The 27,787-nt window shown below is 49.0% G+C and overlaps 1 protein-coding gene across 26 annotated transcripts in view, besides 4 other annotated features; it reads left to right on the top strand.

Annotated features, from left to right (window-relative positions):
- The window catches only part of HDAC4 (histone deacetylase 4), a 353,482-nt gene that overhangs the window by 20,086 nt on the left and 305,609 nt on the right, over nt 1-27,787 (top strand). For 2 of the 26 annotated variants that reach the window (XM_047446484.1, XM_047446476.1), the window contains exon 1: nt 527-27,337. The exons of the other annotated variants lie outside the window; for them this stretch is intronic. The gene's annotated coding sequence lies outside the window, so the exon portion shown is untranslated. Of the gene's footprint in view, nt 1-526; nt 27,338-27,787 lie in introns of those variants that run through there. 26 annotated transcript variants of the gene reach the window in all.
- Nucleotides 11,466-11,625: an enhancer, noted in NCBI's record as "active region_17389". NCBI's record gives its function as "activates an Ori minimal core promoter by ATAC-STARR-seq in GM12878 lymphoblastoid cells {active_cell/tissue: GM12878}" and the evidence as "EXISTENCE:reporter gene assay evidence [ECO:0000049][PMID:35858748]".
- Nucleotides 11,646-11,965: an enhancer, noted in NCBI's record as "active region_17388". NCBI's record gives its function as "activates an Ori minimal core promoter by ATAC-STARR-seq in GM12878 lymphoblastoid cells {active_cell/tissue: GM12878}" and the evidence as "EXISTENCE:reporter gene assay evidence [ECO:0000049][PMID:35858748]".
- Nucleotides 15,087-15,622: an enhancer, noted in NCBI's record as "H3K27ac-H3K4me1 hESC enhancer chr2:240287637-240288172 (GRCh37/hg19 assembly coordinates)". NCBI's record gives its function as "activates a minimal SCP1, AML or CMV promoter by ChIP-STARR-seq in primed H9 embryonic stem cells {active_cell/tissue: H9 hESC(primed)}" and the evidence as "EXISTENCE:reporter gene assay evidence [ECO:0000049][PMID:30033119]".
- Nucleotides 15,623-16,159: an enhancer, noted in NCBI's record as "H3K27ac-H3K4me1 hESC enhancer chr2:240287100-240287636 (GRCh37/hg19 assembly coordinates)". NCBI's record gives its function as "activates a minimal SCP1, AML or CMV promoter by ChIP-STARR-seq in naive and primed H9 embryonic stem cells {active_cell/tissue: H9 hESC(naive and primed)}" and the evidence as "EXISTENCE:reporter gene assay evidence [ECO:0000049][PMID:30033119]".

The raw sequence follows: 27,787 nt of genomic DNA, 5'->3' as shown, positions 1-27,787 counted from the left end.
TAATTTTGAAAACTCTTGGGACAAGTTACATACATCATTTACCAGCTTGGGGGTGAGGAAATGAAACCAGCTTTCATTTACATTTTTTTGCATGTGAATAAAATGTACCTTTCTCCTCTCCTTTTCGTTTCTTTTCATTTCTCCATCTCTTTCAGATTTGAAAAATGGGTTTCGATTCCCCAGAACTTACATTTTCCCAGCCAGAGCGTGTTTTGCATGCAGATGTAGTTCGAGATAACAAAGAGGCATGTTTGTGTTGTAGTGACTACATAAAAAGAAAGGATATTGCTGAATTGTAAATTGCATTTTTAGAATATGCTAAAACGAAGCACTGAGAGTCATTTGTCTTCACTGCAGCTCAGCTCACTGCGTGTTTTCATTGTAGTGATTGAGGAAGGCGGTCGCGGGAGGCAGCTCCGTGACTCTTGGTTCCTAGACGGTTTCCTTCCTCAGAGCATCGCGTGTACGTCACGTGTTCAGGTGACAGCTCAGTCACCATAAATATACTTTAAACATCCTGATGTGTGTGTTGTGTGTGGGATGCTGTTGTTTCAGTCACTGCCAGTCATTTTCTCAGCTATCAGGACGTGAACCCGTGTTTGCTCCTTGCATCCGGGAGGCGCTGCTGAGGGGTGACCTCGATCCACAGGAAGTGTGCGCTGTGTACGGGAACGTTTAAACCGGGCATCCCTCGTTTTCTGAGATGGGACGTGAAGGCCGAGTGGAGATCGGTAGGCAGCAGCAATGCCTCTGAAGTTGGGGACAAAGCGGGAAAGAATCCATGTGAACAAGCAGTTTGGGCAATTTATTTGATTGTGTGTGTGTTTCCGGCTTTTAAATATAAAAAAAATTTTCAATTGTGGTAAGAAACACCTAACAAAATTAACCATTGTAACCATTTGTTAGTGTACAGTTCAGCAGTGTTAATTATATTCACGTGGTTGTGCACCCAATTTCTAGAATTTTTTCATCTTGCAAAACTGAAGCTATTAACATACACCCATTAAATAGCTATTCAATTAGAGTTTTTAAAGGCAGGTGGTTCTTCTGAAACACAAGGTTACTGTCAGGCCCGTGGTGAACTCAAATGTTTGCTAACTATAGAGAGAAAGATGGGAAAAAACAAATGTTTATACATACAATAACTATAGCTACACATAGATAAAATATGTCTATATTATCAATATAGAATACATAGTAAATGTGTATTTATAACATATGTATAATTTAATGTAAATGTACATTAAATACATGAATTATATAAGAAGTTAAATGTGTGCACGGACGTGTGTGTGCATATGCCCATCCTCGATTTACCCAAAGACGCGGGCCATTGCAGAGCTCGCGCATTCCGCAGTGGGATTTCTTCTTATTCCTCTGGTCCAGATCTCCAGAACTGATTGTGCTGTTTTCTTTCTCTGAATGAATCGAGCCTCATGAGGGCCCTCTTGGCTCTGGCACCCATGGGCCCACGCCGCGCCCCCGACCCCAGGTCTCATCCCCTTTTTCGTGCACGCCCTCCCAGCCCAGTGGAGTCTTGGCGCCCCCGGCTGGATGGCAGGCTGGCCACACTCCACCACGGGCCAGATGGAGCCTGCAGTCTGCATCCGCTTCCCCCCGAGTCACCCCGCAGCCAGGTCCGGAGCATTCCACTGTCTCCCTATCCCACTGTCAGTGTCTGCGTGCAGGTGCTGAGCCTGGCTTGGTGTTCTTCTGTCCTTTGTTTCCTGTGACCCTGTGGTGAGTGTGACCCCGTGGTGGGGCAGGGGCTGCTCTCTGGCCTTCCCAGTGGAGAGGATGAGCAAGGGGCCCCGGCAGCCGATGGGGGGCTTGGAGAAAGGGCGCTTACCCCACCCTGGGGCTCCTTGGGGCTGCCAGGGGAATGGTGCCCAGGCTGGCTCTGAAGATAGGGTAAGATGACTGGGCCACCAAGGTGGGGGCTGTGGGGAGCGCTAGGGAGGCCCTGCCAGGAGCCGGTGCCCTGAGAGCAGGGCGGGCACTGGGCCAGCTCAGGCCGAGGGGACCTGCCAGACCCCTCCTGGGAGCTTGGACCTCCTTGGGTAAGAAGGAGCAGACCTTGATGGGGCTGGGCTGGGGCTGTGCTTGAGGGACTGGAGGGTGACAGGCAGAAGAGGGCAGTGGCTCCACAACGGGTAGACGGGGTGAGTCTTGGTGTCTGTCAGTGACTGCCAGCATGCCCAGCATCATCACACGCTCTGCTTTCTCCTGGCACCGGCCTGGTGCGTCTCCCCGGGGCTCGCCCACCTGCGCGGGAGCCAGCACTTGCAGGGACCCACCTTCCTGGGTTGGTCACCTGGCTTCCTTCCTCTCCACCCCCAGCGCCCACTCCCCCTGGCTGGACTCTCCCTCTGTCCTCCGAGGAACAGCTTTTCTTGGCGGCCTCCACCCCCAGCTCCTGCCTTCCTGGAGTGACTTGCCCCTGGGCTCCCTGTCACTTCTGAATTACTTAGCCTGAGGAGCGTTTCTTCCCTTTGTGTCTCCTTCCCTAGGGCACTTCCTCTTTACCTTCCCGTCCCACCCCTGCGGCTGACACTGAAGATTCTGCTGTGTGCCAGTGAGTGAGCGGGCCCAGCATGGGACACTTTTCCTTGGAAATGAGGGGAAAGAGGGCTGCTTCCTGGGGAACTAGACAGAGCTTGGCAGTCTTCGAGGAGGCCTGGTGTGTCCTCTTTGTTCGAAAGACTGTTTTGCCTCAGGCCAAATTGTCCGACTCTGCCAAGGCAGGAAGGAGAGTAGGAGATGCATGGATCCCTCAAGTGAACAAGAGAAGAGCCCAGGACATGCCGGGGTCATTGGTTGCTGGGGTCATTGGTTCCTGGGGTTATTGGTTCCCGGGGTTATTGGTTCCCGGGTTCATTGGTTCCCGGGGTCATTGGTTCCCGGGGTCATTGGTTCCCGGGGTTCTTGGTTCCCGGGGTTCTTGGTTCCCGGGGCCGTTTCAGGCCACCTCTGGCTCCTGAGAGCGAGGGGAGCCCATGGAGGCCTGCAGAGGAGAGTGGGAGGTGAGGACAGGGACCTCTGGATATGGCCCTCAACAGTACGATGGTCCTTGTGATGCTGCCATCTGGGTGGTGCACGTTCAGTGTGGGTGCCAGCCCTGGCGCAGTGTCAGAACAGCCGTGGTCACGTTGAGCATGTGACTCAGCTCTTCGTTCCCCGGGGCCAACGCCTTCCCTCTTCCAGGCCATCATCGTGTGGACCCCAGCTGCCAACTCCGTCTCCATCCTGGACTCTGCTTTAGTGCCCTCCCCACCCTGGTCACCGCTGGACTTTATGTGCCTGGGTGCTCGTCTCCCCCAGGAAGGAAGGAAGTCCCCAAGCTGTCACGGATGCCCACTGGGCTGCTCTTCGACAGACGCCTCAGGGTCCAAGAGGTGTCTCCCGGGCCAGATCTATGTGCACAGGGCATGTCCCCAGGCTGAGAGGGGCACCCACCTGCCGCTGGCATTCCCCGGATGTTGGCTGAGTGGAGGGGCACCGCGTTTGCTGGACAGAGGGGATGCCTCAGGACGCGACGTCTCCCCTGGAGGACAATGGCCATAATTCTTTTTGAAAACCAGGCATTTTGATGTCCATAGAACTCCTATTTCAGGGAAAATTAGAGGTCCTTGAGGTGGGTGTAAAACCAAGCAGGTGGGGCGCTCCCCCTGTGGCATATGGAGACAGTCCCAGCAGAAGGTGGCGGCAGCTGAGCTCAGCGCGGTGATCAGTCTTGGGCCTGGGCTTGTCTGCCTGGCCGTGCCCAGTTGTGTCTGAGATGTCCGTCTTGCATCCTGGCAGGTGCTCTAGGGTCCTGGGGGTCTTTTCACCACGTTGGGTCTCTGCACATAATACTGGTCCCAGCCAGATGAGCTGTCAGCCCTGCCCCTTGTGAGAAGCCAGTGGTGAGACTGTGGCCCTGGGGCCTCCTGCCCGCACCTCGGCTGCTCCAGGTTGGTGGTCTGGGCGAAGTGAGGCAGGATACATCATAGGTCCCTTTGGGGAAGGAGAATCTCGTGCTCCCTCCATTGTGGTGATGCACTGAGAGGTGTGGAGATCTGCATAGAAGACAGGGCCTCCAGGAGGGTCCAGAGAGGCCCATTGGTGGCAGAGAGGATGCAGGCGTCGGGGCAGCCCTCGTGACAGGTGCTGTGTTGCAGCCTGGAGCAGGCCTCTCATGCTGGCAACACAGAGAGTCACGGAGTCAGAGGCCCTGGACATTTTGGGGCCTCCAGAGGCACACGTGGCCTGTGAGCCAGCACCTGTGTGGACAGCGCCCTGGCAGTGGCTTCGGTTAGTGGACGGCCTCGTAACCTGTGGTGGCGACGCCTGAGCTGGGGCAGCTGACGCCTGGGGAACTGCTTTTGGTTTCAAGTTCAGAGTCAGAGTGAGCAGAGGTAGCCTTTGGGCTGCCATAGAGGAGCGCAGCCCACCCCGGCTTTGGGAGGACAGCATCTGGGCACCGAAGGCAGAGGCCCCGCAGGCTGGGGATGTCTCTGAAGCACGCTCACGGGTAAGGTGTTGGTTCCAAGTGACCGTGTCTGGCAGGGCAGTGGTGTGAGTAAGGAAGTGGTCTATGTCCAGGAGGGACGGGCGTGGAATAGCTCCCCTTCCAATAAGGACCTGCACTCAGAGCCACTTATTATTGAAACTTGCTATCATCGTGCAACCCCAGTTTGTGCTGTAGTTGTCATCAGTGTGTCAGAAACATTTTGTGCTGTGCTTACTCAGGGAGTCTGGTTCCACCGAGACCCTGCCTCCCAGCCGTATGCCTGCATTATGAGGATTTGTGTCATAGCAGTGGCGTGTTCTGTTGAGCACTGTGGCTTTTTAATCGTTACTCAAGTGTGGCCACTCAGGCTGTATTCAGGAACACACGGTCTGAACTAACAAAAAACTAGGCGTCCCGGGCAATCTGTGGCTGGATGGCGTTCATCACCTCCCCCTGGGGCGGGTGTTGTGCTCCCGGCAGGTGGTGTGTGTGGTGTGGCCAGGAGGCCATGTTACTGATGGTAGTAGACACGTGCCTTCGGGCCAGGGCGGTCGACAGAGTCTGTGTCCCACCTCTGATGGCGCGGTGGTGACATCTGGGGCACCATCAGGAGGGTTGTGAGCACACAGCACCTTCCTCACATCTGGGCACCATCAGGAGGGTTGTGAGCACACAGCACCTTCCTCACATCTGGGCACCATCAGGAGGGTTGTGAGCACACAGCACCTTCCTTGGTGTTTGGATGGTGGAGGGTTGTGAGCACACAGCACCTTCCTTGGTGTTTGGATGGTGGAGGGTTGTGAGCACACAGCACCTGCCTTGGTGTTTGGATGGTGGAGGGTTGTGAGCACACAGCACCTGCCTTGTTTGGATGGTGGAGGGTTGTGAGCACACAGCACCTGCCTTGGTGTTTGGATGGTGGAGGGTTGTGAGCACACAGCACCTGCCTTGGTGTTTGGATGGTGGAGGGTTGTGAGCACACAGCACCTGCCTTGCTGTTTGGATGGTGGAACATCATTGCCCAGAACCTGCCAGCCCTGCTTTAGGGACCATCAAAGGACACATTGAAGCAGAGTCAGACGAGGCTGGCCCCAGGGCGTCCAGCAGGCTGTGGACAGGACATGACGTGGTCCAGGTGACACTCGCAGTCGGGTGGGGTGACTGCCAGGCACCCCCCTCTTCTCCAGCACCCTCCCCCATAAGGGCCGGCAAGAGGCCTGGGCTGGGCAAGATTGCCTGCAGTCGGGGGCACTCACTGGTTGAGGGAGCCCAGACTCCCCAGGCCCCCTGGGGGGCCATGGAGGAAACGCCCGTCCAGAGCACCTGGCAGTGGGTGCTCCATGGCAAGCAGCGTCCCCATGCGATCTTCCACCCCAGACTGCCCTTCTGCTGCGCCACTGGAGCCTGTGCGTGACTGAGTTGGCAGGACCCTCTCCTGCAGTCATACTGGAAGGCTGTGATGGCCTGTAGCGTCCGTGGTGTCCGTGTGCCAGGTAGGCGTGAGTGCCATCCTGTGGACGCTGTGAGGCGTCACCACTCGCTGAGGTCAGTGGTGTTGCCCTGGTGGGGCTGAATCTGCATGGAGGACGCTCAGGCCTGAGGCAGGGGCTTCGCTTCACACATCCTCACGGTGGGGTTGGGCTGGCCGTGGGCCACCAGGCATCCTCGCTGGCCCGGTGAGGACAAGTGAGTGGACGGTCCGTGGCCTGGCAGGTGTTCAGGGAACATTTAGGGACATGCGTGGATGGGAGGGTGGGTGGGCGGAGTCCGCAGGCCTGCAGGACAGCAGAGAGACCAAGCAGGCTCTGGCACCTCCCGGGGCACCCTCTGCTCCTCTGATTCCCAGGCCCCTGGCTCTGCTGACTTCTTCCTACGTGGCTGCCCTGCCCCAGGCACATCTGGGCGTTCCTGCTGCCTGGTTCCCAATGTCAGTGTTCTTCACAGCTCTGTGGACCCTGCCTGGCTCTGCGTGTTCTCCCAGCTGACCCATCAGACCCCTGCGGCTGCCCTTCCTGCCCGCAGCAGGCAACTCCTGAGTCTGTCTAGCTCACACCCACCCGTCCAGGTGCCCTGGCAGCGTCACCCCTCACCTGGGTCTTCAGGCCGTGAGCCTTAGGGACCGTCCCTCTCTTTAGATCGGGTCTCTGACTTACACAGGGTGCCCGATTTGCACGCTGCCCTTCACGTACCGCCAGGGTGGGCCTGTGCAGCTGACAGGACCTGTGGCCAGCTTGGCTCTCGTCCAGGTTTAGGTGTCTTATTTTCATTTTATCTGAAATTTGAGATCTTCTGATTATCTTTGATATTCTGAAATTTAAAATTTATCCCATTTAGCACACATGAGTTAACTTAATTTTTAAAGCCTTGTTGGCCGGGCGCGGTGGCTCACGCCTGTAATCCCAGCACTTTGGGAGGCCGAGGCGGGCGGATCACGAGGTCAGGAGATCGAGACCATCCTGGCTAAAACGGTGAAACCCCGTCTCTACTAAAAATACAAAAAATTAGCCGGGCGTAGTGGCGGGCGCCTGTAGTCCCAGCTACTTGGGAGGCTGAGGCAGGAGAATGGCGTGAACCCGGGAGGCGGAGCTTGCAGTGAGCCGAGATCCCGCCACTGCACTCCAGCCTGGGCGACAGAGCGAGACTCCGTCTCAAAAAAAAAAAAAAAAAAAAAAAAAAAAAAAAAAAGCCTTGTTTTCTATTCATCTGGGGTGGTTTCCTCCTCTCCTGGTCACCCTCGTCATCATTGTCGGCATCATTGTCATTTCCCTGCAGCACCTCTGACCTGTGTTTTCCTTTGGTGGGATTCCTGTGAATGCCATTTTGGCTACTGGTTTATTTCTCTGATATTTACTCAATGTGATCTCCCAGGTCCTCTGTGCAGTTTTGTTCTGCTGTTCACCGGCTGAAGTTCCAGGCCCTGCTGCCTGATCGCCTCTGCTTTGCATCCGTTGGTGCCTGTTCTGCGGACGCCATAGCATCACTGTTCTCAGTGTCCCTCCTTAGAGGGGCTTGAATTACCTCTGTGTCTTCCGGGCTCAGTTTTTCTGTGTACCTTGGTCATTCTTTTTCTTGCTTCAACTTTTTCAGTGGCTGGTCAATTGTTCATATCTAAGTATGAGGGGAAGATACATTTCAGATGGATTCAAGGCTTAACTGTAAAAAGTAAAGCAAGAGAAATCTCCAAAGACAATTGGGGCATCAAGGACCCGTCCTCATTGACCCCGGATCTCTAGAAGCGGACAAAGATGCAATTGACAGAATAAAAATGACAACTTTTGAGTGGATAAAGATATTAGCAACAAAGTCAATGAAGAAATGAGAGTTTTGGAAAAATATGTGTAACATTTGACAAAGCTGAGGCAGGCGGATCACCTGAGGTCGGGAGTTCAAGATCAGCCTGACCTGCATGGTGAAACCCCATCTCTACCAAAAATACAAAAATTAGCTGGGCGTGGTGGTGCACGCCTGTAATCCCAGCTACTTGGGAGGCTGAGGTGAGAGAATCGCTTGAACCTGGGAGGTGGAGGTTGAGCCGAGATCACACCACCGCACTCCAGCCTGGGCGACAGAGTGAGACTCTGTCTCAAAACAAACAAACAACAACAACAACAAAAAGTTTACTATGGAGAGGTCTCTTCCAAACTGGAGAGAAAGACCAACATTAGAAAATGAACGCTCAGTGTGACCAGGCAGCCCAGGGAAGAGGGGTCGTTGCAGACATGCCCAAACTCCCCAGCCCCCAGGGAGATGCCCAGAAAAGTCAGCAGAGATCGTGCTTTTTACCTAGCTTGGCAGAATATGGCAAGAGAGATGGTGTCCATTACAAGGGAGGATGTAGAGGCCGCAGCAGTGTCGGGCATGGCTGGAGGAGGTACGCGCGGCTGCAGCCTCTTTAGAGGTCGTTCTGCTCACATGTCCTGATGTGAGAAATAAGCAGATACTTCACTCAGCCCCCACTCCCAGGGCTGTGCTCCACAGGGCCACAGACCCCAGGACGTGAGGCTCTTTGCACCCGGCAGTCTCTTGCAGTGTTGTGGTAAGAGTCAAACGCTTGGAGGAAAGTCTGTGCCCATGAGTGGGAGAATGCTTGGCTAAATGTTGGCACAGCCACGTGACGGACTCCCCCGAGACATGGTATTGAATGAGAAACGGAAGATGCTGAGAAGTCTGTAGGATACAATTTCATTTTTGGAGGCAGTGACCACCTGGTGTGTGCATGTGTACATATGTGCACATGTGTGCATTGTGAGCATGTGTGTGCGTGTGTGTGTATGTGTATGGAATGGAGGGAAGTGTGGACAGCAACCACGCAAAGGTTTCCTGTTGGGTGTTTGATGGTGGAGAGAGCAGGAAAGAGAGAAAGAAGCTATTGCTCTGAACATGAAGCAGTGTGTCTGTTCTGTCGCTGTGTATAAACTGCTTGCTTGTGCGTGTTGCCGCGTACACTCTGTAGAGAGAGGGGACCAGAGCTCCTGGTGTACCGGGAGGCCGGGATGTAGGAGTGGGAGCTGCAGAGCAGCGTGTGGAGTGCGAGTCTTTGGGCACTCACAGAAGCGAAGCCTGTCTGTGTGTGTGCGCGCGTGTGTGCGCGGGAGCCCAGCCCAAGGAAGGACCCTGGTGGCCTTGCAAGGGAGCCAGGGACAGAGATCACCTGTGTGTGTCTTTGTGTGGTGGTGTTACTCTTGTGGTAACAACGACTTTTGTAAATGGGAGTGCATGGCTGAGGTGTTGCTTCTTAAAGGCAGGAGTAAGGAGGAGGGCCCGGGGATGGGGAGCGGTCGGATGAGTAGCTGGGCCCTTCCAGTGCCGGCTTGAGGGCCTTTTCTCTGGATCACAAACTCCCCACCTGCTGCCTCGGGCAGTGGGTTCTGTTCTGGTTCTGCAGAGGAGAGTCCTGGGGCCCACTGTCCAGGAGTTCCTGAGACAGAGACCCTCAGGGAGGCTCCCCATCAGGTTCCTATGGGTTCCTGCTTCACCCTACTGCCCTCGTTGGAGAGACCCCCAGCAGTCTGGGGCCTTGAGGATGCCTCTGGCCGAGCAGCCACCCACGCGCCCTGCCCTGGTCTGCTTTGCAGCTCTGCGGGTGCAGCTGCTCCCGTCCGCCAGCTGCTGGATGTTTGTGGGGCATTGTTGAAATCTCTGATGGATGCTGCCCCCTGCCCCTCCACGGGCTCTTCACTGTTTTGGGTCCATGCCTGTGCTATCACTTGATTCCGATTTAACAATACAGGTGAATGAGGCAGGGCCGGATGCGCAGGCCCAGATCCTCATCTTTGTGCAAAAGCTTTGAGGGACCACAGGTAAAGGCCCGGGCCACGCCGACAGAGGCTCCAGTCTCCATCCTGCTTGTGCGGCCATGCCTGAGCCAGGTCCCCTGTGCTGTTGCCACACACGTGTGTGTGTGAGTGAGTCCGTGCGTATGTGTGTTTGAGGTTATATGAGTGTATTTGTGAGTGTGAATGTGTGAGCATGAGTGTTTGTGAATGTCTGTGGGTGTGTTACACTGTGAGCATGAGTGCATGTTTGCATGAATGTGATCGGGTGTGTTTAAGGTTATGTGTGTGAGCATGCATGTTTGTGTGTTTGTGTTAGTGTGTGTGAGTGCCTGGGTGTGAGTGTGCAAGTGTGATTGAATGTGTGAGTTTGAGGTTGTGTAAGTGCATGCTTGTGTTTGTATTAGTGTATAAGTGTTAGTATATGAGCGCATGGGTTTGAGTGTGCGTGTTTGAGTGTGTTCATGATTGTGAGTTTGTGGTTATGTGAGAGTGTGTGTGAGTGTATAAGGATGTGTGTATGTGATTGAGTGTGTGAGTTTGAGGTCATGTGTGAGTGACACACGTGTTTATATGTTGGACTCCTTGTTGGAGCCTGGCCTGAGTGGACGGGGCCGTGGTGCAGGCCAGAACAGGTGTCTGCACAGACAAGGTGGCCTGAGGCGCAGGGTTCCTGCCTGGACAAAGGTGGACTCTGTCCTGGGTGATTCCCTGTCCCAGCTGGGGCCTGCCCTGTGGCTGCCAGGAGCTGAGGAGTGACTGACTCTGGGGGCGACAGGCTGTGGGAAGCCCTGTGGTGTGGACAGCAGCTGCACATCAGTGGCTCCAAAGGGCAGAGGGTTAGAGCAATTGCCCTAGATGGCAGCTGTCATCGACTATCCAACTAGGAGATGAGGGGCATGTTGGTCCTTCACCTTTATGACTCATTTAGCTGTCTGTAATTCATCCCAGGAACGTTCTTAAAGTAATCATCATCATTTTGAAAAGACCCAGCATGATGCGGGGATGAGCTGTGAAGACAGGTTTTCAAGCCCAAGTCCAGTGGGTGCTCAACCAGCTCCTCTGCTCGGCTCCTCCAGGCGCCGCAGGGCTGCAGGTGCACCAGCCTTTCCACCAGGTGCCTGGCCAGCACAAGAGTCCTGCTCTCCCGGAGGCCGCTGTGCAGGATCAGCTCTGCACTATCTGTTGCCGTTAACCATACAGTGCATGACCTCCTGAAAAACACCAGACATGCTTCACAGGCCCCAGGGCTGGCAAGGCAGGGAGCAGGGAGGCCTGGATTCAGGGGGGCGCTGCAGGGAGTCCAGAGTGCCCGTGCTGACTGGGTTTGGTCTGTCTCTGGGCAAATCCAGTTTTACAAGTCTGCTAAGTAGCAGTCTTTAAAACTGCATCTTGATTGGTGTGGCACCTGTCTCCTGCCTGCGAGAACCATACCTGCTTTTACTCTACCCTTTAACAGGAGAGCCCCGAGCCATGTCTTTCAGTGGGATCGAGGGAGTTGGAACATTTCAGAGCTGTGGGGTGCCTCCCTCAGCGCAGCATTTTGGACCTCTAGCACCACTCTCTGACGGTTGTTGGTGGCCCATGGCTAAGGGTTGCATGGTTGTCTTTGCATTTTTAAACTCTGTTTTGACCCCGCAGAGCCCCTTGGGAAAAGTCGGGATGCTACCCTCACTGACCTGCCAGTCCCGGGGACACAGGGCAGACGGCCTGCCGTCCTGTACAGGGCCCCGTGCATCTGGGCGTGCTTTTCTCTGCCTCATGAAGTGTGTCGCCAGCCACGCTGCAATCATCTGTTCTTTAAGAGAAAGAAAAGTGGAGATGACAGGATGTGGCGGTCCTATGATTCTCTCCGCCCACCAGGGAGGAATGGGAAGTTCCCATCAGGGCATGACGCCACTTTCAGTACAAGCCTTCAGGCATCTGTGCCACTTCCTTTCATGCACCCTGCACTGTCCTCAGCTCCTTTAAGCTCTTCATTTCCGTTGTTTTCTATGAAAGGTGGCTACGATTCTGTGTGTTCTGCTTGAGAGAAGGTGGCCCAGGCCTGCTGAGACGTCATGGGCCGTGTCATCCAGCAACCTGGCTTCCGAGGCGCTGTGTTGAACACTTCTTGACTTCATGAGTTTATAAGTACTTCATGCCCAGCTACACCGTGTACGCGGAAATGAGAGCAGGGCTTGACCCGTCTCTTGATTATCTGCAGCAGTTTTAATTTATTTTAAAATAGAAATAGCTTTGCTTTTTACATTAAAATAAAAATGCTTTTTGTAAACAATTGCAACAATAAATAAACTTAGAAAGTAGGAGTTTAACGAACCTCTGAGTTTCGCTCACATGCTTGGGAAACCAACCGGGTTAGCGGGACTGTAGCTTGGAGACATTGCAGCCCAAGCGGCTGTCTCTGGGGAGCCCTGTGGCTCCCGGGCTGCCCACCCCCCGCCGGGCAGTCGGCTTGCTGCCACCAGCAGGTGTGAGCTCCAACCGTAGACATGCTCTTGGTCCAGACGTCCATTTATTGGGACCCAAAACTCAGAACTGTGGGCAGTTCAGACCTGGAAAGATGAAAGGGGACCGTCGGGGAATGGGCCGTGCTGCTGTCTTCCTTCCCGCTTGTTGGCATCTGTCCAAGCCTTCCCTCCTTTCTTGGAGACTGTCACCAGAGAGGGCCTGTCTGTGTCTTGTCAAACAGAGAGGATTCCTCCCTGCCGGCGAGCCTGTCCACTGCCTGTGTGTGCAGGTCCTTTGTCACCTTCCTGCAGCTTCCCTGGGGTCACCAGGGGAGTGGTGTGTCACCCGTGGGGTTGGCATTCACCTCCCCCCAGGTGAGGGCTCTCTGACGGCTGTGAATAATCACAGCAGCAGGTACCAGGATTGTCTGCGGGTTCCCATCTGCAGGGCAGCCTCAGCTGTCGATGCCGACATCGATAGTTTTGAGTAGAGTTGGGGAGGAACTTGGGCTATCACCTGGAATCAAAGCACCTTTATTTACTGCTTTGGTCCGAAAGAACGCAACACTTAGGAGGGTCCACTCCAGCAGTGATAAGCACCTCACCTGCAGAACAGGGAGGGCTGCCTGCCCAGGTCTCCCACCTCACCTGGGCAGGAGAGGCACCTGCAGCTTGAGACAGGCATGGAGAGGACGGTCCTGACCACTGAGGAGTGTCTGTGTCTGGAGGAAACAGCCTGTGCCCCTCTCCTCAGGACGGAGGCCCTTCACTTGTACCCCCCTGTTATCCCCCAATGGAGAAGGAAGTGGGTGGGCGGCTGGGACACGTCAGTTTCCAGTTTTTCTTGCTTGGCACCCTGTCAATCTTGAGTTTGTTTCAAGAAGCTGTTCTGCTGCCTTGATGAGACCCCCTCCACGTGAAGAAAGGTGAAATGCAGCAGCGCCAGCCACGCAAGATGGTACTGTGCTTTGGACGGTGCATTTCAGGGTCTTCTCATCGCCCCCTTTGCTAGTCCCTGAATTCCTCACAGCCAAGTTCCTGTGTCTCTGCGGGCCCCACATCCCTCACATCTGACATTCAGGGCCCTCCTGTGTCTCCGAAGGAAGAGGGTTGGAACACACCTGCAGAGCCACGGTTCTCAAACTCCGGAGCCCTTCACACTCCTGCAAATTAGCATGGACTCCAAAGAGCTTTAGCTTCAATGATTGAGATGCACAGGCTGACTGTCGTTCTGACGTGCTTGGGACCAGAAGTGTTCAGGCTCTCAGAGTTTTTGGATTTTGAAGTATTTGCGTATACATAATGAGATATCTTGGGGATGGGACCTGAGTCTAAACATGAAATTTATTTATTTATTTATTTATTTATTTTGAGACGGAGTCTTACTCTGTCGCCCAGGCTGGAGTGCAGTGGTGTGGTCTCGGCTCACTGCCACCTCCGCCTCCCAGGTTTAAGCGATTCTACTGCCTCAGCCTCCCTCCCGAGTAGCTGGAATTACAGACATACACCACTATGACTGGCTAGTTTTTGTATTTTTAGTAGAGATGGGGTTTCACCATGTTGGCCAGGCTTACCTCAGGTGATCCACCGGCCTCAGCCTCCCAAAGTGCTGAGATTAGTGTGAGCCACCACACCCAGCCTAAACATGAAATTTATTTTTCATGTTCACCTTATACATATAATGTGAAGGTAATTTCATATAGTATTTTTAATAATTTTGTTCGCCAAACAGTTTTGACTGTGACCCATCACATGAGGTCAGGTATGGAATTTTCCACTTGGGTTTTCATGTTGGTGCTCAGAAAATTTCAGATTTTGGAGCATTTTGGTTTGTGGATTCTTAGATTAGGGATGCTCAACCTGTATTGGTATTTATTGTATTAGAAACTAACACACATCTAAAAAACGTGCTTACTCATTTGAAACTGAATAAACCCATTACATGTTAAATAGATAGGTAACATTTTTAACAAAAAATAACCGTTCGGTAAAACACAAAGCGTCGTGAGAAGAGAGGCATCATTTTACCCTTTGCCAGTCTATGGAAGGTGTGGCTTAATGGCGACAGTATTTCTGCTTCTCACACCGGCTCTCGTTCAGTCCATGTCCACTGTACCCCTGTGAGAGAAGGGCACATGACATTTTTCTATTATGAACAAAAATTTGACTTCACACACCTCTTGTAAAGGTCTCGGGGACCCTCTGGGACCCCAGATCGCATTATGAGGACCGCTGTTTTAGAAACGGGTTTCTGTGTGGCTGGGGGCCTGGGGGCTGATCACTTATTTGGCCGATAGGGTCTTTTGTCAAAGGGTTGTTTTCCATCCGCAAGTGCCTGTCAGTGACGGAGGCTTTCAGGCATGTTGTTGGTGAAGCTCAATTCAGGCCCGTTGTTGGTGAAGCTACGCGTGCTTGGGTGCATGGTGGTTATGGTGGAAGAGATCTTTCCTTACTTAGTCTGGTACTGACATAAGGTTCTGGGGCTGTTTGTCACCTGCCCTGGGGGTGCCCTGCGTAGGGCAGGGATAAGTCAGGGATAAGTCATGTTTTCCTTCGTGGGGTTGCAGCCATCTGCCTGGGACCCCACTGGCCTTTTGCTCTCTCGGGGTGTTCATGGCAGTTGATGTTAAATGATCCATTGAGCCCAGCGTTTCACACCGTAAGTCAAATCCTTGGGCCTTCTGTGTGTCTGTCTGAATCTTTTTCTCTGAAATTCTTTTATTTCACAGCAAACGGAAACAAGTCTTGTTTTATCTGGATGCCTTCTCCATTTGGACTCTTCCTCTCCAGAGTTTATTTTACCAATAAGTTTGTACATGCTAGAGATCATAGGCCAGAATGTGGATCTTTATCCACTCTTATGCTTACGCAGACTGGCAATAAACACACCTAGGCATCTGCAAAAGGGCCTCAGTGCTGACATCTCTTTTCCTCCATGGAGAAAGTTCAGTGCTGACGTCTGTTTTCCTCCATGGAGAAAGCTGATGCTCTGTTGCTGCTAACGGACAGTTATTCTTGTGCGTTCATCTGTGTGTCTGTGTCCGCCAGTGCCACACGCGTGACCCTGACGACCCTGCTCTGTGCATGCATGTTTGTGTGTGTCCGCCAGTGCCACACGCGTGACCCTGACAACCCTGCTGTGTGCATGCATGTCTGTATGTGTCACATAGTGCCACACGCATGACCCTGACGACCCTGCTCTGTGCATGCGTGTTTGTGTCCGCCAGTGCCACACGCGTGACCCTGACGACCCTGCTCTGTGCATGCGTGTTTGTGTGTGTCCGCCAGTGCCACACGCGTGACCCTGACGACCCTGCTCTGTGCATGCGTGTTTGTGTGTGTCCACCAGTGCCACATGCATGACCCTGACAACCCTGCTGTGTGCATGCATGTCTGTGTATGTCACATAGTGCCACACGCGTGACCCTGACGACCCTGGTCTGTGCCTGCATGTCTCTGTGTGTCCCCCAGTGCCACGCGTGTGACCCTGATGACCCTGATCTGTGCATGCGTGTCTGCGTGTGTCCCCCAGTGCCACACGTGTGACCCTGACGACCCTGGTCTGTGCATGCGTGTCTGTGTGTGTCCCCCAGTGCCACGTGCGTGACCCTGACGACCCTGGTCTGTGCATGCATGTCTGTGTGTGTCCCCTGGTGCCACACGCATGACCCTGACAACCCTGGCTTGTGTGTGCATGTCTGTCCATGTCCCTCGGTGCCACATGCATGACCCTGATGACCCTGGCCTGTGCAAGTGTGTGTGTGTGTCCCCTGGTGCCTCATGCATGGCTCTGAAGACCTAGCCTTGCTGGCTCCCATGGCCCTTCCTCTTTATCCTCTTGGTATCTGATCTTCCGAACGTTCCAGAATCAGAGGGTGGGGGAATCAGAGCCTCAGATGGAATGGTGGCCTCAGCTCAGCAGAGCCTGTTTTGGCCTTGTTCAGCATAAGCCTGTGGATTGTGTGAAATCCTTCCTATTTTATTCCCGTTACAGCACAGTGAAATGGAATTTTATTACTTTCAAGTGTAGAGTCCATTATGAAACTAAAGTATAAATCTGTCCCAACAAATTATGGAGGAAAAATATCTGAAGTCTTGCGCCATGTGGCCACGTATCATAAAATGACACTCTTATAAAACACAATAGCCAGACCTTACACTCCACATTTCACTAAGGAAAACAGTGCTTATTAAACTCACTGTATAGACAGGAGTCAGAAATGTCATATAGCAACAGTTTGCTTTCTAAAGCTTAAAATTTATTTCAATTTTAATTACCCTAAATTCAAATTAAATTAATCATTTAATTACACAAATTAAAAATGATTTCATATATATTTTGTCTGACAAACCTGACTTAGTACCTCTTTGGGAATTCCCTGTTTTTTCTCCATTTAAAATCTGCACCCTGTGTTTGCACCCTCGTGGGTTCTGAAAGAATTCTTTTCCGTTTCTGCGAGGTTTCTTTTAAGAGGAGTAGTATGGTGACTATTTCTCCTACATGTACTGGTTGTAAGAAATGGTGGCAAGAATTATAAAATACTTCCTCACTGTCTGGAAAGTCCAGGTAAGATCGTGCAAGCTGCATGGACCAGTCAGATCAGTATTATTTGGATCTTTCTTGGTGCAAGATGGCTTTGAGTCATTGGTCTGCACCAGTTTTTTATTGAATTATAAAATACATGAGAAAAGTACACAAGCCAGGAGGGATATGCGGGTGCTGACTTTCTGCAAGTGAAGGCTCTGCCTTCTCTTCCACAGATCAAGGAGCAGGTGTTCCCCCCGCCACCGCTCCCTTGTTCTTCCTTCAGTGGCCGTCCCCCACCCCTCCCAGGGGAACCTGTCTGGATGTCTCCCACCTCGGATTAGTGTTGCCTGTTTTCACATTTTATGCACACGGAGCCCTACAGTAGGCGCTGCTGTGTGTGTCTGCTTTTTCTCAGCATGATGTTTCTGTGATTTATCTGTGTCACTGCATATAGGTGTAGTTTGTTTATTTTTACTGCTGTATGGTGTTCTGTGGTATGATGACATCACAAGGTATTTATTCGTGCAGCTTTTGGCACGTTTGGGAGGTTTCTGGTTTTTGACTGTTACAGATAATGCTGCCGTGTCTTCGTAGATGTCTTTCTGTTGGGTAGATGCCTCGGGCTGGCATTGCTGGGGCATGGCACTTGTGTGGCTGTAGTACCTGCCACCGAGGGGTTTCCCACAGGGTGTGTGCCGTTGACTGTTTTGTAACCTCGTGTGTGAGTGCCGGCCAACCACATCCTTACCAACACATGGTATCCTTTCGTTTATAGATTTTAGCCATTTTGGTGGGTATGGAGTGTTCCGTTGTGGCTTTATCGCGTTTCCCTGCAGTCACACATGCGCAGGACCTTGTGTGTGTTGATTGACCACTTGGAATCCTGTCTTGTAAAGTACCTGTTGATGTGTTTTGCTTATTTTTCATTCAGGTTGTCTGCCTTTTTCTTAGTGATTTGTAAGAATTATTTATACATTTTGAATATCCGTCCCTTGCTGGGTGTATGTGTGGCAGGGTCTCTTCTATTTTGTGGCTTGCCTTTTCCCTCTTCTGCATCTTTTGATAAATGAGTGTTCTTAATTGAGTGCAGCACAATTTATCATTTTCTTTCCTTCATGGTCAGTACCTTTTTAACATCTGTCTATCTTTGCCCACCTGAAGATATTTTTTGTTGTTGTCTTTTAGACCAGGCCTCATTGCTTACCTTTAACATTTAGGTCTGTGATCCAGCTCATACTAATTTCCATCATGGCGGGCTGTATGGGCTGTGGTTCATTTAGCATCAAAGAGCAGCTGACGCAAGCACTGCATATTGAAAAGACCCTGTTTTCCCTATGGATTTGGGGTGGAATCCTCACAATAATCAGATGACTCTGTGTTGGTCTCATTCTAGCATATTCTCCTTGGTTTACTTTAATTACACAAGTTTAGAAGAAGTCTTGATATTTGGTAGTGTGAGTCCCCCAAGCTTGTTTCTCTTCCAGATTGCTATTTCAGGTTCTTTGTGCTTCCATTTAAAATGTAAAATTGTCAGTTTTCAAAAAAATTCTGCTGGGATTTTGATTGCGATTGCATTGACTGCCGATTACTTTGCAAAACATTGACATCGGAATCTCATTGGGGTTTCCGGTCCATGCACATGGTATATTCCTCCTTGTATTGAGATCTCTAATTTCACTTACGTTTTATAGTTTTCTATGTAGAATTCTTCTACGTCTCTTGATAGATTTAGTACTGGATATTTGCTAATATTGTATGCTATTATAAATGTTATCTTGTTTTCAAAGCTTATTTTGTATTTGTTTATTGCCACTGTATAGAAATACAATAGCTTTTGATTTTGGTACATTATTGACCTTTTACTCAGCAATCCTGTAAAATTCACTTAGTTATTTTAATAGTTATTGGTAGATTGTTTTGAGTTTTCTGTGTATACACTATATCATCTGTGAATAGTGACATTTTCCTTTGTAATCTTTTTGCTTTCTTTTCTTTTCTTGCCTTACTGCCCTGGCTAGGATCTCTGCCAGGGTGTTGAATGGAAATGATGAGAGTGGGCATCCTGGCCTCACTCCCTGTTTGGTGAAGGCTCTCTGTTGCCCAGGAGATGATGTGTATTTGGCGTTCTGGACTGGGTTCTGCAGGCTGCTCTCCTTTGTGTGACTCTGGGTTCTCCTTTTGGTTCACTAGCACTGGCCGTTCCGTCACCAGCATGGCAGGCTGAGGCCATGGTGGGCACTTTGAGCTATAGTCACTGCCCGTGAAATGGGGTGGGGAGGGTGTGTGGTAAGGGACAAAACTGGCCCTCCCCACACTGTCACATTTCTTTGTGGTAGCTTGGTAAGATGTTTTAGAAGAATGTTCTCTGATGGATTTATAGCTTCTAAGACTTTTGCTCTTTGGAAGGTTTATGGCTTATTCCATGAAATTAAGTCAACCAAAATTTCAAAATTTCCAAGCTGCGGGAGGAGGAACCATAGGTAACCTTAGATTCCAAGTGTTTGGTGAAGGAAATACACCCACACGTAAGCGTTAGTGATGCATTTGCTTTCATTGATTCTGTGTGGAGCAGAAATGAAAAGAGAGAGATGTCTTTATGTAAACAGATGCCCAGTGTCAGAAACTGCCCACTTGGCAGAGTGACCATGGCTGTCTTGCTAAAGGTGCTTGTAAATTAAAATCACAGGCTCTGTGGCTCAGTGTGGACTTCTAGTGCATCTGGTAAGTTAGGGGAAAATACATCCTAAAAGGCATTGTGTTTGAAAGTTGTAATATGTCCACATTCGTCTATTATTTATTAGAATGTATTTTAGTTAGGGATGTACAGATACACATTTCAAACGTCCTTCAGAAACAAATGGATCCTTGAGATCTTAGTAGCATGTGCTTTCCATGTGTTTTCTTAGAAAAGTGATCATCGTAGTTCTCTAATCTGGTTAGTGAAGTATCATTAGACACATACATCAAGATAAAAAGAACTAGATCATGCTTAAGTCTTATTAAACCATTTAATTTCTAGTAGGTTTTTATGTTGTGAGTGTTGCGTTGGGTTGTTCAAAGACACACCACCTAAGGAGAAGGTGACGGAATGGGCAGAAAGAAGAGAGGTGTATCAGGCAGACAGCTGACTGATGGGTTTTCATCCCATATCCAATAGAAAAGACTGCTTTCCTCGTGGGCTTCAGATAGCGCTGCTTTCTTTATGAGGGGTTCCATTTAGTTTTCAGCTGTAGAATCGTTTGTTCTTAACTCCATAATTTTTCTCTTCTCTGCCTGTGATCTTCATGAGGGAATGTGAAGTTTTTCTTTTAACCCAGATATTCTGAGGGCCAACAGCAGTTCCCTGCATTGTATGTGACTCTGGCTTTCTCATGGCAGCCCTCTGCAGGCTCTCTGAGGCATTGGGAGTCCTGAGGCTTAAAGTACCACAAACTTGTGAATTTCTGGAATCTTTGATATCAGATCCTTAAAACTTAACTCTAGCCCCCAAAAGGCAGAAAACGGTTTCTTTTGCAATTTGCTTTCAACTTCAGCCCCCTGTGAGGTAGTTTCTGAGGGGAATCCAGGAAGACCTTAAAAACGTTCATTCAGTTCACAGTTTTGTTGTGTGCCTACTGTGTGCCTTGGGCCAGGGGTGCAGCAGGAGGTCACATTCCAGCCAGGGGCAGGCAGAGGGGCCGACAGATAATGAGAAAACAAACAACTACTTAATGTCAACATAGAATGAAATATCAGAAAAAGGAAAGAACTTGGAAGGGCAAGAAAGTAGGGTGACAGGAATGAGCGTCTGGGGTGGGGCGATCAGGAGCAGTTTCTGGGAGGTGGGACGTGGGTGTGGAGGTGGAGAGAGAGGTGCCTTTCCTGTCCTTACCTGCAGCCTCTAAGCCGTCTGGAGAACTTACATTTCCCAGACAGCGTTGGCCCCAGAGCCTTTTTCCTACAGCACACCAGGGATGCCGATGAACTCCAACCCAGTACTTCTATGGGGAGAAAAGAATCAGGCTCAGGGGTGATAAGGAACTGGTCCAGGGTGAGAGAACACACTGGGCTAGTGCTGGGGCCAGGTGGAGCTCGGGTGTCCCCGCTCCCTGTCTAGTACTCTTTCCCAAGGGACCAGGTAGAGCTCGGGCGTCCCCGCTCCCTGTCTAGTACTCTTTCCTAAGGGACCAGGTGGAGCTCGGGTGCCCCCGCTTCCTATCTAGTACTTTTTTCCAAGCCAGAGTCCGGGGGTGTGAAGAGATACATGTTCCCGTTTGCTCTCAGTGGAACTTGCAGCCAGGCACGGGGCAGGTGCTCATCAGATAAGCGAGCACATGAGTCACAACAGACCCAGCCAGAGCCAGAACAGCTTGGGGTCCTGCTGCAGGAAGGCAGGGTGCCTGGGCAGACCCTGAAGGTCCTGTCTGTGGCTGTTGGAGCTACTTTTTTAGCCCAACTGAGCATCATGGCTGCTGACTCAGTCTCCCCAGCTGTGACACGGGGGCTGGGGTCTCCGGGTCCCCTTGCGGCTGTCTGTGGCGTCTGTCTGCCTTGTCCTATTTCCCCCTCTGGTAATGATTCTTCAGTTTTCCTTCGAGGAATGACCCTCATTCCCATTGGTCCCACATTGGCGGCGCTGCCTGTCAGGGTGTCCTGGCTTCCCTGGTCAAGGGCTGTGGCTCAGCGCAGGCCATCAGGTGTGGTTGGACAGTGTTCTGGAGGGACTCTCCGTTAATTCCTGCCTCTGGGTCCCTCCACCTGCTTTGCCAGCTACCCCGTTCACTCGCTGGAGCTTCCTCTGTTTGCCTAGATTATCCAAAGTCAATTTTCTATTGCTTGCAACCATGAACTCCTAACAGGTGTACCTTGGGTCTAGCATGCCTGCTCTGTAAAACCTGAATTCTCACTTCCTTTGGCTCAAGTACTCTGTGTTCTCGCCGGTTTCCAGAAAGAAGGGTTCATAGACTGTGGGCATTGATATTCTGTCCAGCAGGTTCTGGAGCTGGCTTCTTAGCCTCCTCATGTCAGATCCACTCGTCTACAGATTCCCGAGTCTTCTGCTTCCTCTCTAAATCGCAGCTCCCACTGGCTTCCTCCCAGGAGGCTGTGGGTGGTTCCTGGTGACCTGGCTCTCAGTGAGCCTTCACCAGAGGCACCAGGGAATGACCATTTCTGGCTGAAAAGGTGACCCGAAGGCTGAGTATGTGACCGAGTGGAGGGGCATGTTCTCCATGCACTCCCCAGTAGCTGGAGCCCCCACCCCCCAGCTCTGGGAAGGGGTCCCCACCCAAGCTGCTTCTGTCATCTCGGCCTATCCTAGACCCGACCCCAGGTCCTCTGTCCTGCTCAGAAGCCTTCAGTGGCTTCTGCTTCCCTCAGCGCAGAGGACACAAGATTCTGAGAAGCCCTCTTGTTCATGACACAGCCGGATTCTGGCCACATCATGTGAAACATGTTTCCCATTAGCTTGGCTGTGCGTGTAAAAGTGAGGAGGAACTCACATGGTAATAGAGTTACATGGGTATATGCATTTTCAAAATAGTGCCGTTAACTTTCGGACGTTTCAGTGTAGGTGGAAGGAGGTACCGACGCAGCGTGAATGCCAGGGTGTTGGCTGGCGTTGAAGCTAGATGCCGTGGGCTGTCACACAGTTCTCTTTACTCTGTATATGTTTGAAGTTTTCATAATATAAAAGCTTTGTTTTTAAAGAGAAATTCATGTTAAAACCTGTGAAATCTTAAATTGCAAATATCAATATGAAAACACTTTTTTTTTACTTAAAATATTTGTACTTTTTACATATCCAAAAAATAAACAAATGACTAAAACCAACCAGTATGTGGGGAACTCAACATGAAATACATATGCTAACCAAGGAATTTAACTCTCTTACAAATGCACTCACCTGATAACTTTGGAAACCAGTGTCTTACCTGGATACGGTAAGGCTGAGAACAAGGAGAATCGTGTATAAATGGTGGTCTTGTGAATGTGTTTCTCATGTGTAGAGGTTAGCGATTCTGAAATGACTTTGTGTGTGTACCGGAATTAAACAAATGAGAAAAGATACTGTAGATAATAGGAACCAGGTTTCCCACTGTTAGAAAGATATTTAATAAAAACAAGGAAAGAGGAAGACTAAAATACACCTTGTGATGTTGGGATCTGAGGTCTCAGTATAGACTCATGATTATTCAAGTGTAAACTCATACAGAGATACTGAGGTGTGAGTGAGTCCCTACGCGCGCTGCCTGCTGAGAGGGCCCTGCGTGCTCTGTCGCCCAGCAGCAGTTAGCACACCTAGCACTAGATTGGGTCCGAACACAGTTCTCCCAAACATGGATCCAGGGTTCCCTGGAGAAGCCATTGATTCCGGGACTGTGACAGGGACATCTTGTAAAATCAGAAAGTAAGCAAATGCTCAAAAACAAACAAACAAAAGACTGGATTGGAGGCTTGCCAGAAAAACCTAGGAGCTGGTTTGCAGGAGCTCCCGACGGCCGGCGCTTTAGCACCAACACCAATGGTGGCAGTATGGGACTAATAACACAGCGGATAACGTAACTATCTGTGAGTCCACACGAACGGAAGCAGATTACTGAGTCACTGGGAAGATGGAGCAGTGAAAGCTCATCCTTGCCTTGGAATTCTAAGTAATAAGTGCAGCAAAAAGGAGGTGATTTGGATGTCACCACTAGGCAAACATCATGACAGTGAGTGTCACAGCCCGGCTGCTCTGATGGATTCAGGCCCACGAAGACGTGTGTTGATATGTGTCTCTCTCCAGTGAGCTTCGGTAGCTTGGGCTTTTCAAGGCACTTGTTTATTTCATCTAAGTTGTCAAATTTATTGGCATAAAGTTTTTCATAATATTCCCCATTGTCCTTTTAATATTTGTGCAATCTGTAGTTAATTCCCACTCTCTTTTTTTTTTTTTTTTTTTTTTTTTTTTTGGAACAGAGGCTTGCTCTGTCACCCAGGCTGGGGTACAGTGGCGTGATTTTGGCTCACTGCAGCCTTGACCTCCCGGGTTCAAGTGATCCTCCCACCTCAGCCTCCCGAGTAGCTGGGACTACAGGCATGCACCACCATGCCCAGCTTATTTTTTTTTATTATTTTTTGTCGAGACAGGGTTTCACAATGTTGCCCAGGCTGCTCTCGAACTCCTGAGCTCAAGCAATCCCCCCACCTCGGCCTCCCAAAGTGCTACAATTACAGGTGTGAGCCACCACACCTGGCCCCCTCTCTCATTCTCGATATTGTTAATCTTTGTCTTTTCTCTTTATCAGCTCTGCTAGAAGTTTATCAATTTTATAGTCTCAAAGAATCAGCTTTTAGTTTCATTGATTTTTCTCTGTTCTGTTGTCTTCTGTTACTGTTTTTTTTTTCTTATTTTGAGTTTAATTTGTTCTTTTTCTAATTTTTTAAGGTGAAACCTAAGGTCATTGAATTGAGGCCTTCTTTTCTAATACAGGCATTTGGTACTTATGTTTCCTCCTAAGCACTGCAGATTTTTATGTTGTATTTTCATTCGTTTCAAAATGTTTTCTAACTTCTTTTAAATTTTTTCTTTGATTCATGATGTGTTTGCAAATACTTAGGATTTTCAAATATCTTTGTTATTGACTTCTAATTTAATTTCAGTTTTGTCAGTGAACATACTTTGTATGACTTGACTTGTCCTTTTGAATTCGAGACTGGTTTTATGGCCCAGAAGGTGTTCTATCTTGGTAAATGTTCTGTGTGTGTTTTTAAAAAAGAACGTGAATAACGTGTATTCAGCCGTTGTTTATGGAGTGTTCCATGAATGTCATTTTGGTCAAGTTGGGTGGTAGTGGTCAGGTCTTCTCTGTTCTTATTTTCTGTCTACTTGTTCTAACAGCTACTAAGAGCAGGGTGTGAAAATTCCCAGTTATAATTGTAGATTTGTCCATTTCTTCTTATGCTTTTATTATTTTATATTATTATTTTATTTTATACCTTGTGATGTTGGGATCTGAGGTCTCGGTATAGACTCATGATTGTTGAAATGTAAACTCATATGGAAATATCGTGGTGTGAGTGAATACCTATGCACACTGCTTGCATCAAGTATGAAGCCCTGCCAACAGGTGCATAAATGTTTAGGACTGTGTGCCCACTTGATGAACCAACCCCTTTATCATTATGAAGTGGTCTTCTGTATTGCTGGTAGTATTCTTTCTTTAAATTTTACTTTGATATACATATAACCATTACAGCTTTCTTTTGATTAGTTATGTGATATACATTTGTCCATCTTTTAATCTATTTCTATATTTTAAATATAACAAGATAGATTTCTTGTAGGCAGCACATAGCTGGGTGTATAGTGCTTGGGGAAGATTGACTGTACGTTATAAAACACAGAGCCTCCTCTCTCCAAAAGCTTTTTAGTCCCTCCTCACACGATTCCTCTTTATACTCTGGGAAAGTAGGGTCTCGCTTTTTTATCCAGTCTGACAACCCCTGCCCTTTAAATGGGGTGTTGAGACAGTTTGATATGCTCACTGATATAGTTGGGCTTGGCTGTCTCCAGTTCTGCAACTTAGATGCTTTAATTCTTCCTTTTACTGTTCCGTCAAACTGTTTTCACCTTTTTAAAAGGTAAATTTCTATGTTTACTGGACTTTTCATTGATCAGGACTATTATATATATATTTTTAAAACTATGTGATGTTTTTCTTAATGTAATGTTCTCTGTGTAATGTTTTTGTAATGCCTTGGTGATGAAATAGCATAGTTTTGAATAGTCTACTGCAACTTTTCTTTTTTCTAAGATAAGCCCTTGTGTTTTTAGTATACAGTTTTGCAAGAGCGTGAGGTTCTTCCAGAACATTTCTATTATAGTGAAAATGCCTGTGCTCTATTGAATCTGCAGTTGGGAGAAGAATCCGTTTCTAGCTGTCAGCACTATGTTAGGTGAAACCTTGCTAGACACTGGACATTTGGCTAGGAACCGTGCATGTCAGCTTGCCAGAATTATAGCTTTGAGAAGCATAATTGACCAGTATTAAAGTGAACACAGAACAGGGTAGGAGTGAGCACACATAGCCTCTTGGCAGTCCTCAGGTCTGGACTAGAGCTTATTCCTATTTGAAGATAAATAAACAGAAACAAACCTCACCTTTGGACCTGTCAAAAAAAGGGTATCCCAGAATGTATGGAAGAGGGAAATACCCTGAAGTGCAGAAGAATATGCCTCTGAAAATGAAATTAAATCAGGAAAAAATATTTTCAAAAGGCTTTGGCTAGAAGAATACCTGGCTCAACAAAGAGAAGCAGAAGGTGATGTATGAGGAGGGACTAGGCCGAGTGAGAAGATGATGAGATGAGTTTAAAGGGAAGTGGTTGAGAACAAAGAGTTCATGGCTTAGTTAAAATCTGTATTTGAAGCCATAAGGAATAAAATGGATATTGTGGAAAATAGCAGCAGTGAAGTGAAGAACATACTTGAGAGGCTGCCTGGGAATGCAGAATAAACAACAGATGTGTCACCGGTGAAAGAGGCCAGATCTGATGGGGAGACTTCAGCCAAATAGCATAGGAACTCTGAAGAAGCCAGAACAAGTTTAACAAAAATAATAATCAGTGACATAATTGAAGAACATTTTCCTGAGCAGAAAGAAGACCTATATTTGTTGAAAGAGTCATGTTTTGAACAAAATAAAAGACTCTTACTTATGTATCTTCTGACAACGTTTTTGAATTTTAAGATTCAAGAAAAAAATGCCAGTAGATTCCAGGCAGAAGAAAATGGTAACAACCACAACATCAAGACTCGGCCCCCAAAGTTTTACCTGGAAAGAAGCTGTAATTGAGCTGGACTTAAACTTCCCTACAATGTTGAGGGGGGAATGACATCCAAAAATTTTGAGGGGGGCATATTTGTGATCTAAGATTTTTATACCCAGCTGAGATGTGTTTTTTTGTGTGAAGGATACTGTCATCTGAGATTTGTGAGGGTTTGAAAAATATGCCATCTACATTCCCTTCAAGAAAATGTCTCTTTCTGACCAAGAGATGAATAAACATTCTGACCCTGAAGACAAATAAGTCATTGTCATTCCTAAGGAGATAACCAGATACAGAACAACAGTCATGAAGATATTAATCAGAGTTGTAGATACAATGAACATAAAGTTGGAAAGCATCTAGATAGCCAGCCTTGGGGGCGGGGGTGATTCTTTACATGATGAACTGGTTAGAGTTCTTTGGTTATAAGCAATTGGCAAAAAAAAAAAAAAAAAAAAAAAAAAAATTTCTAGACTAATTAAATCAAGAAAAGGAATTGGTCACACTTTTAAAGAAAGATGAACACAGAAGCCTCTGAAAGCACTTGAGCTGGGATCAGCCAGGGACTCTCAGTGGTAGGAGTGCTGAGACTTGTCTCTTTTGGGTTCATCTAGTGACTGATCTATTGAAGAGGCAGGCCTTGGAAAGAGAACTTGATGAGCTCAGCTGGTGCCACATGCCACTCTTTGGCCCGACACTTCCCTGGGAGCAGCAGGCTCATCCGAAGCTCCTGAAGTGGGGCGGGGCAGCTGTCTATCCACACATGGAATAGGAAACAGCCCTTCAAAACGAAGCTTACCAGGTATTGTTAATGCCATTGGAAAATGCCTGGCTGTAATATCAGCACAGAGAACGTGATAGACAGCTGTATCACTAGAGGTTCGTATGGGCAAAAGGCAAAGAAAAACAACGGCAAGGAAGCATGTCAGAATGTTACCAAGGGCTTGTCTGTGTGTGATGGCATCATGGATGACTTTTTAAATACTTAACCTGTGATGCGCATGTATTGCTTTTATAAGCAGAAAATGAAAACCTGAGAAAATGGTCATTATGAAGACAGAAACATGAGGGAACTATTTTAGGTTATCATGTTACGTGAGGAATGCGGACTTTAGAATTAAATTCTGTGATTACACAGACATTGTGACTACGAATGTCTATGGATCCAGGCTGATGCAAGCGTGCAGTAATGACATTTTGTGGTGGGAATGTGCTGAAAGTGATTTTTCTTTTAAAACATTTTATTTCATAT

This window comes from Homo sapiens, chromosome 2 (genome assembly GCF_000001405.40).
Source record: "Homo sapiens chromosome 2, GRCh38.p14 Primary Assembly".
In the NCBI taxonomy this organism is placed as follows: domain Eukaryota; kingdom Metazoa; phylum Chordata; class Mammalia; order Primates; family Hominidae; genus Homo; species Homo sapiens.
This window is presented reverse-complemented; position numbering and strand designations above follow the sequence as displayed.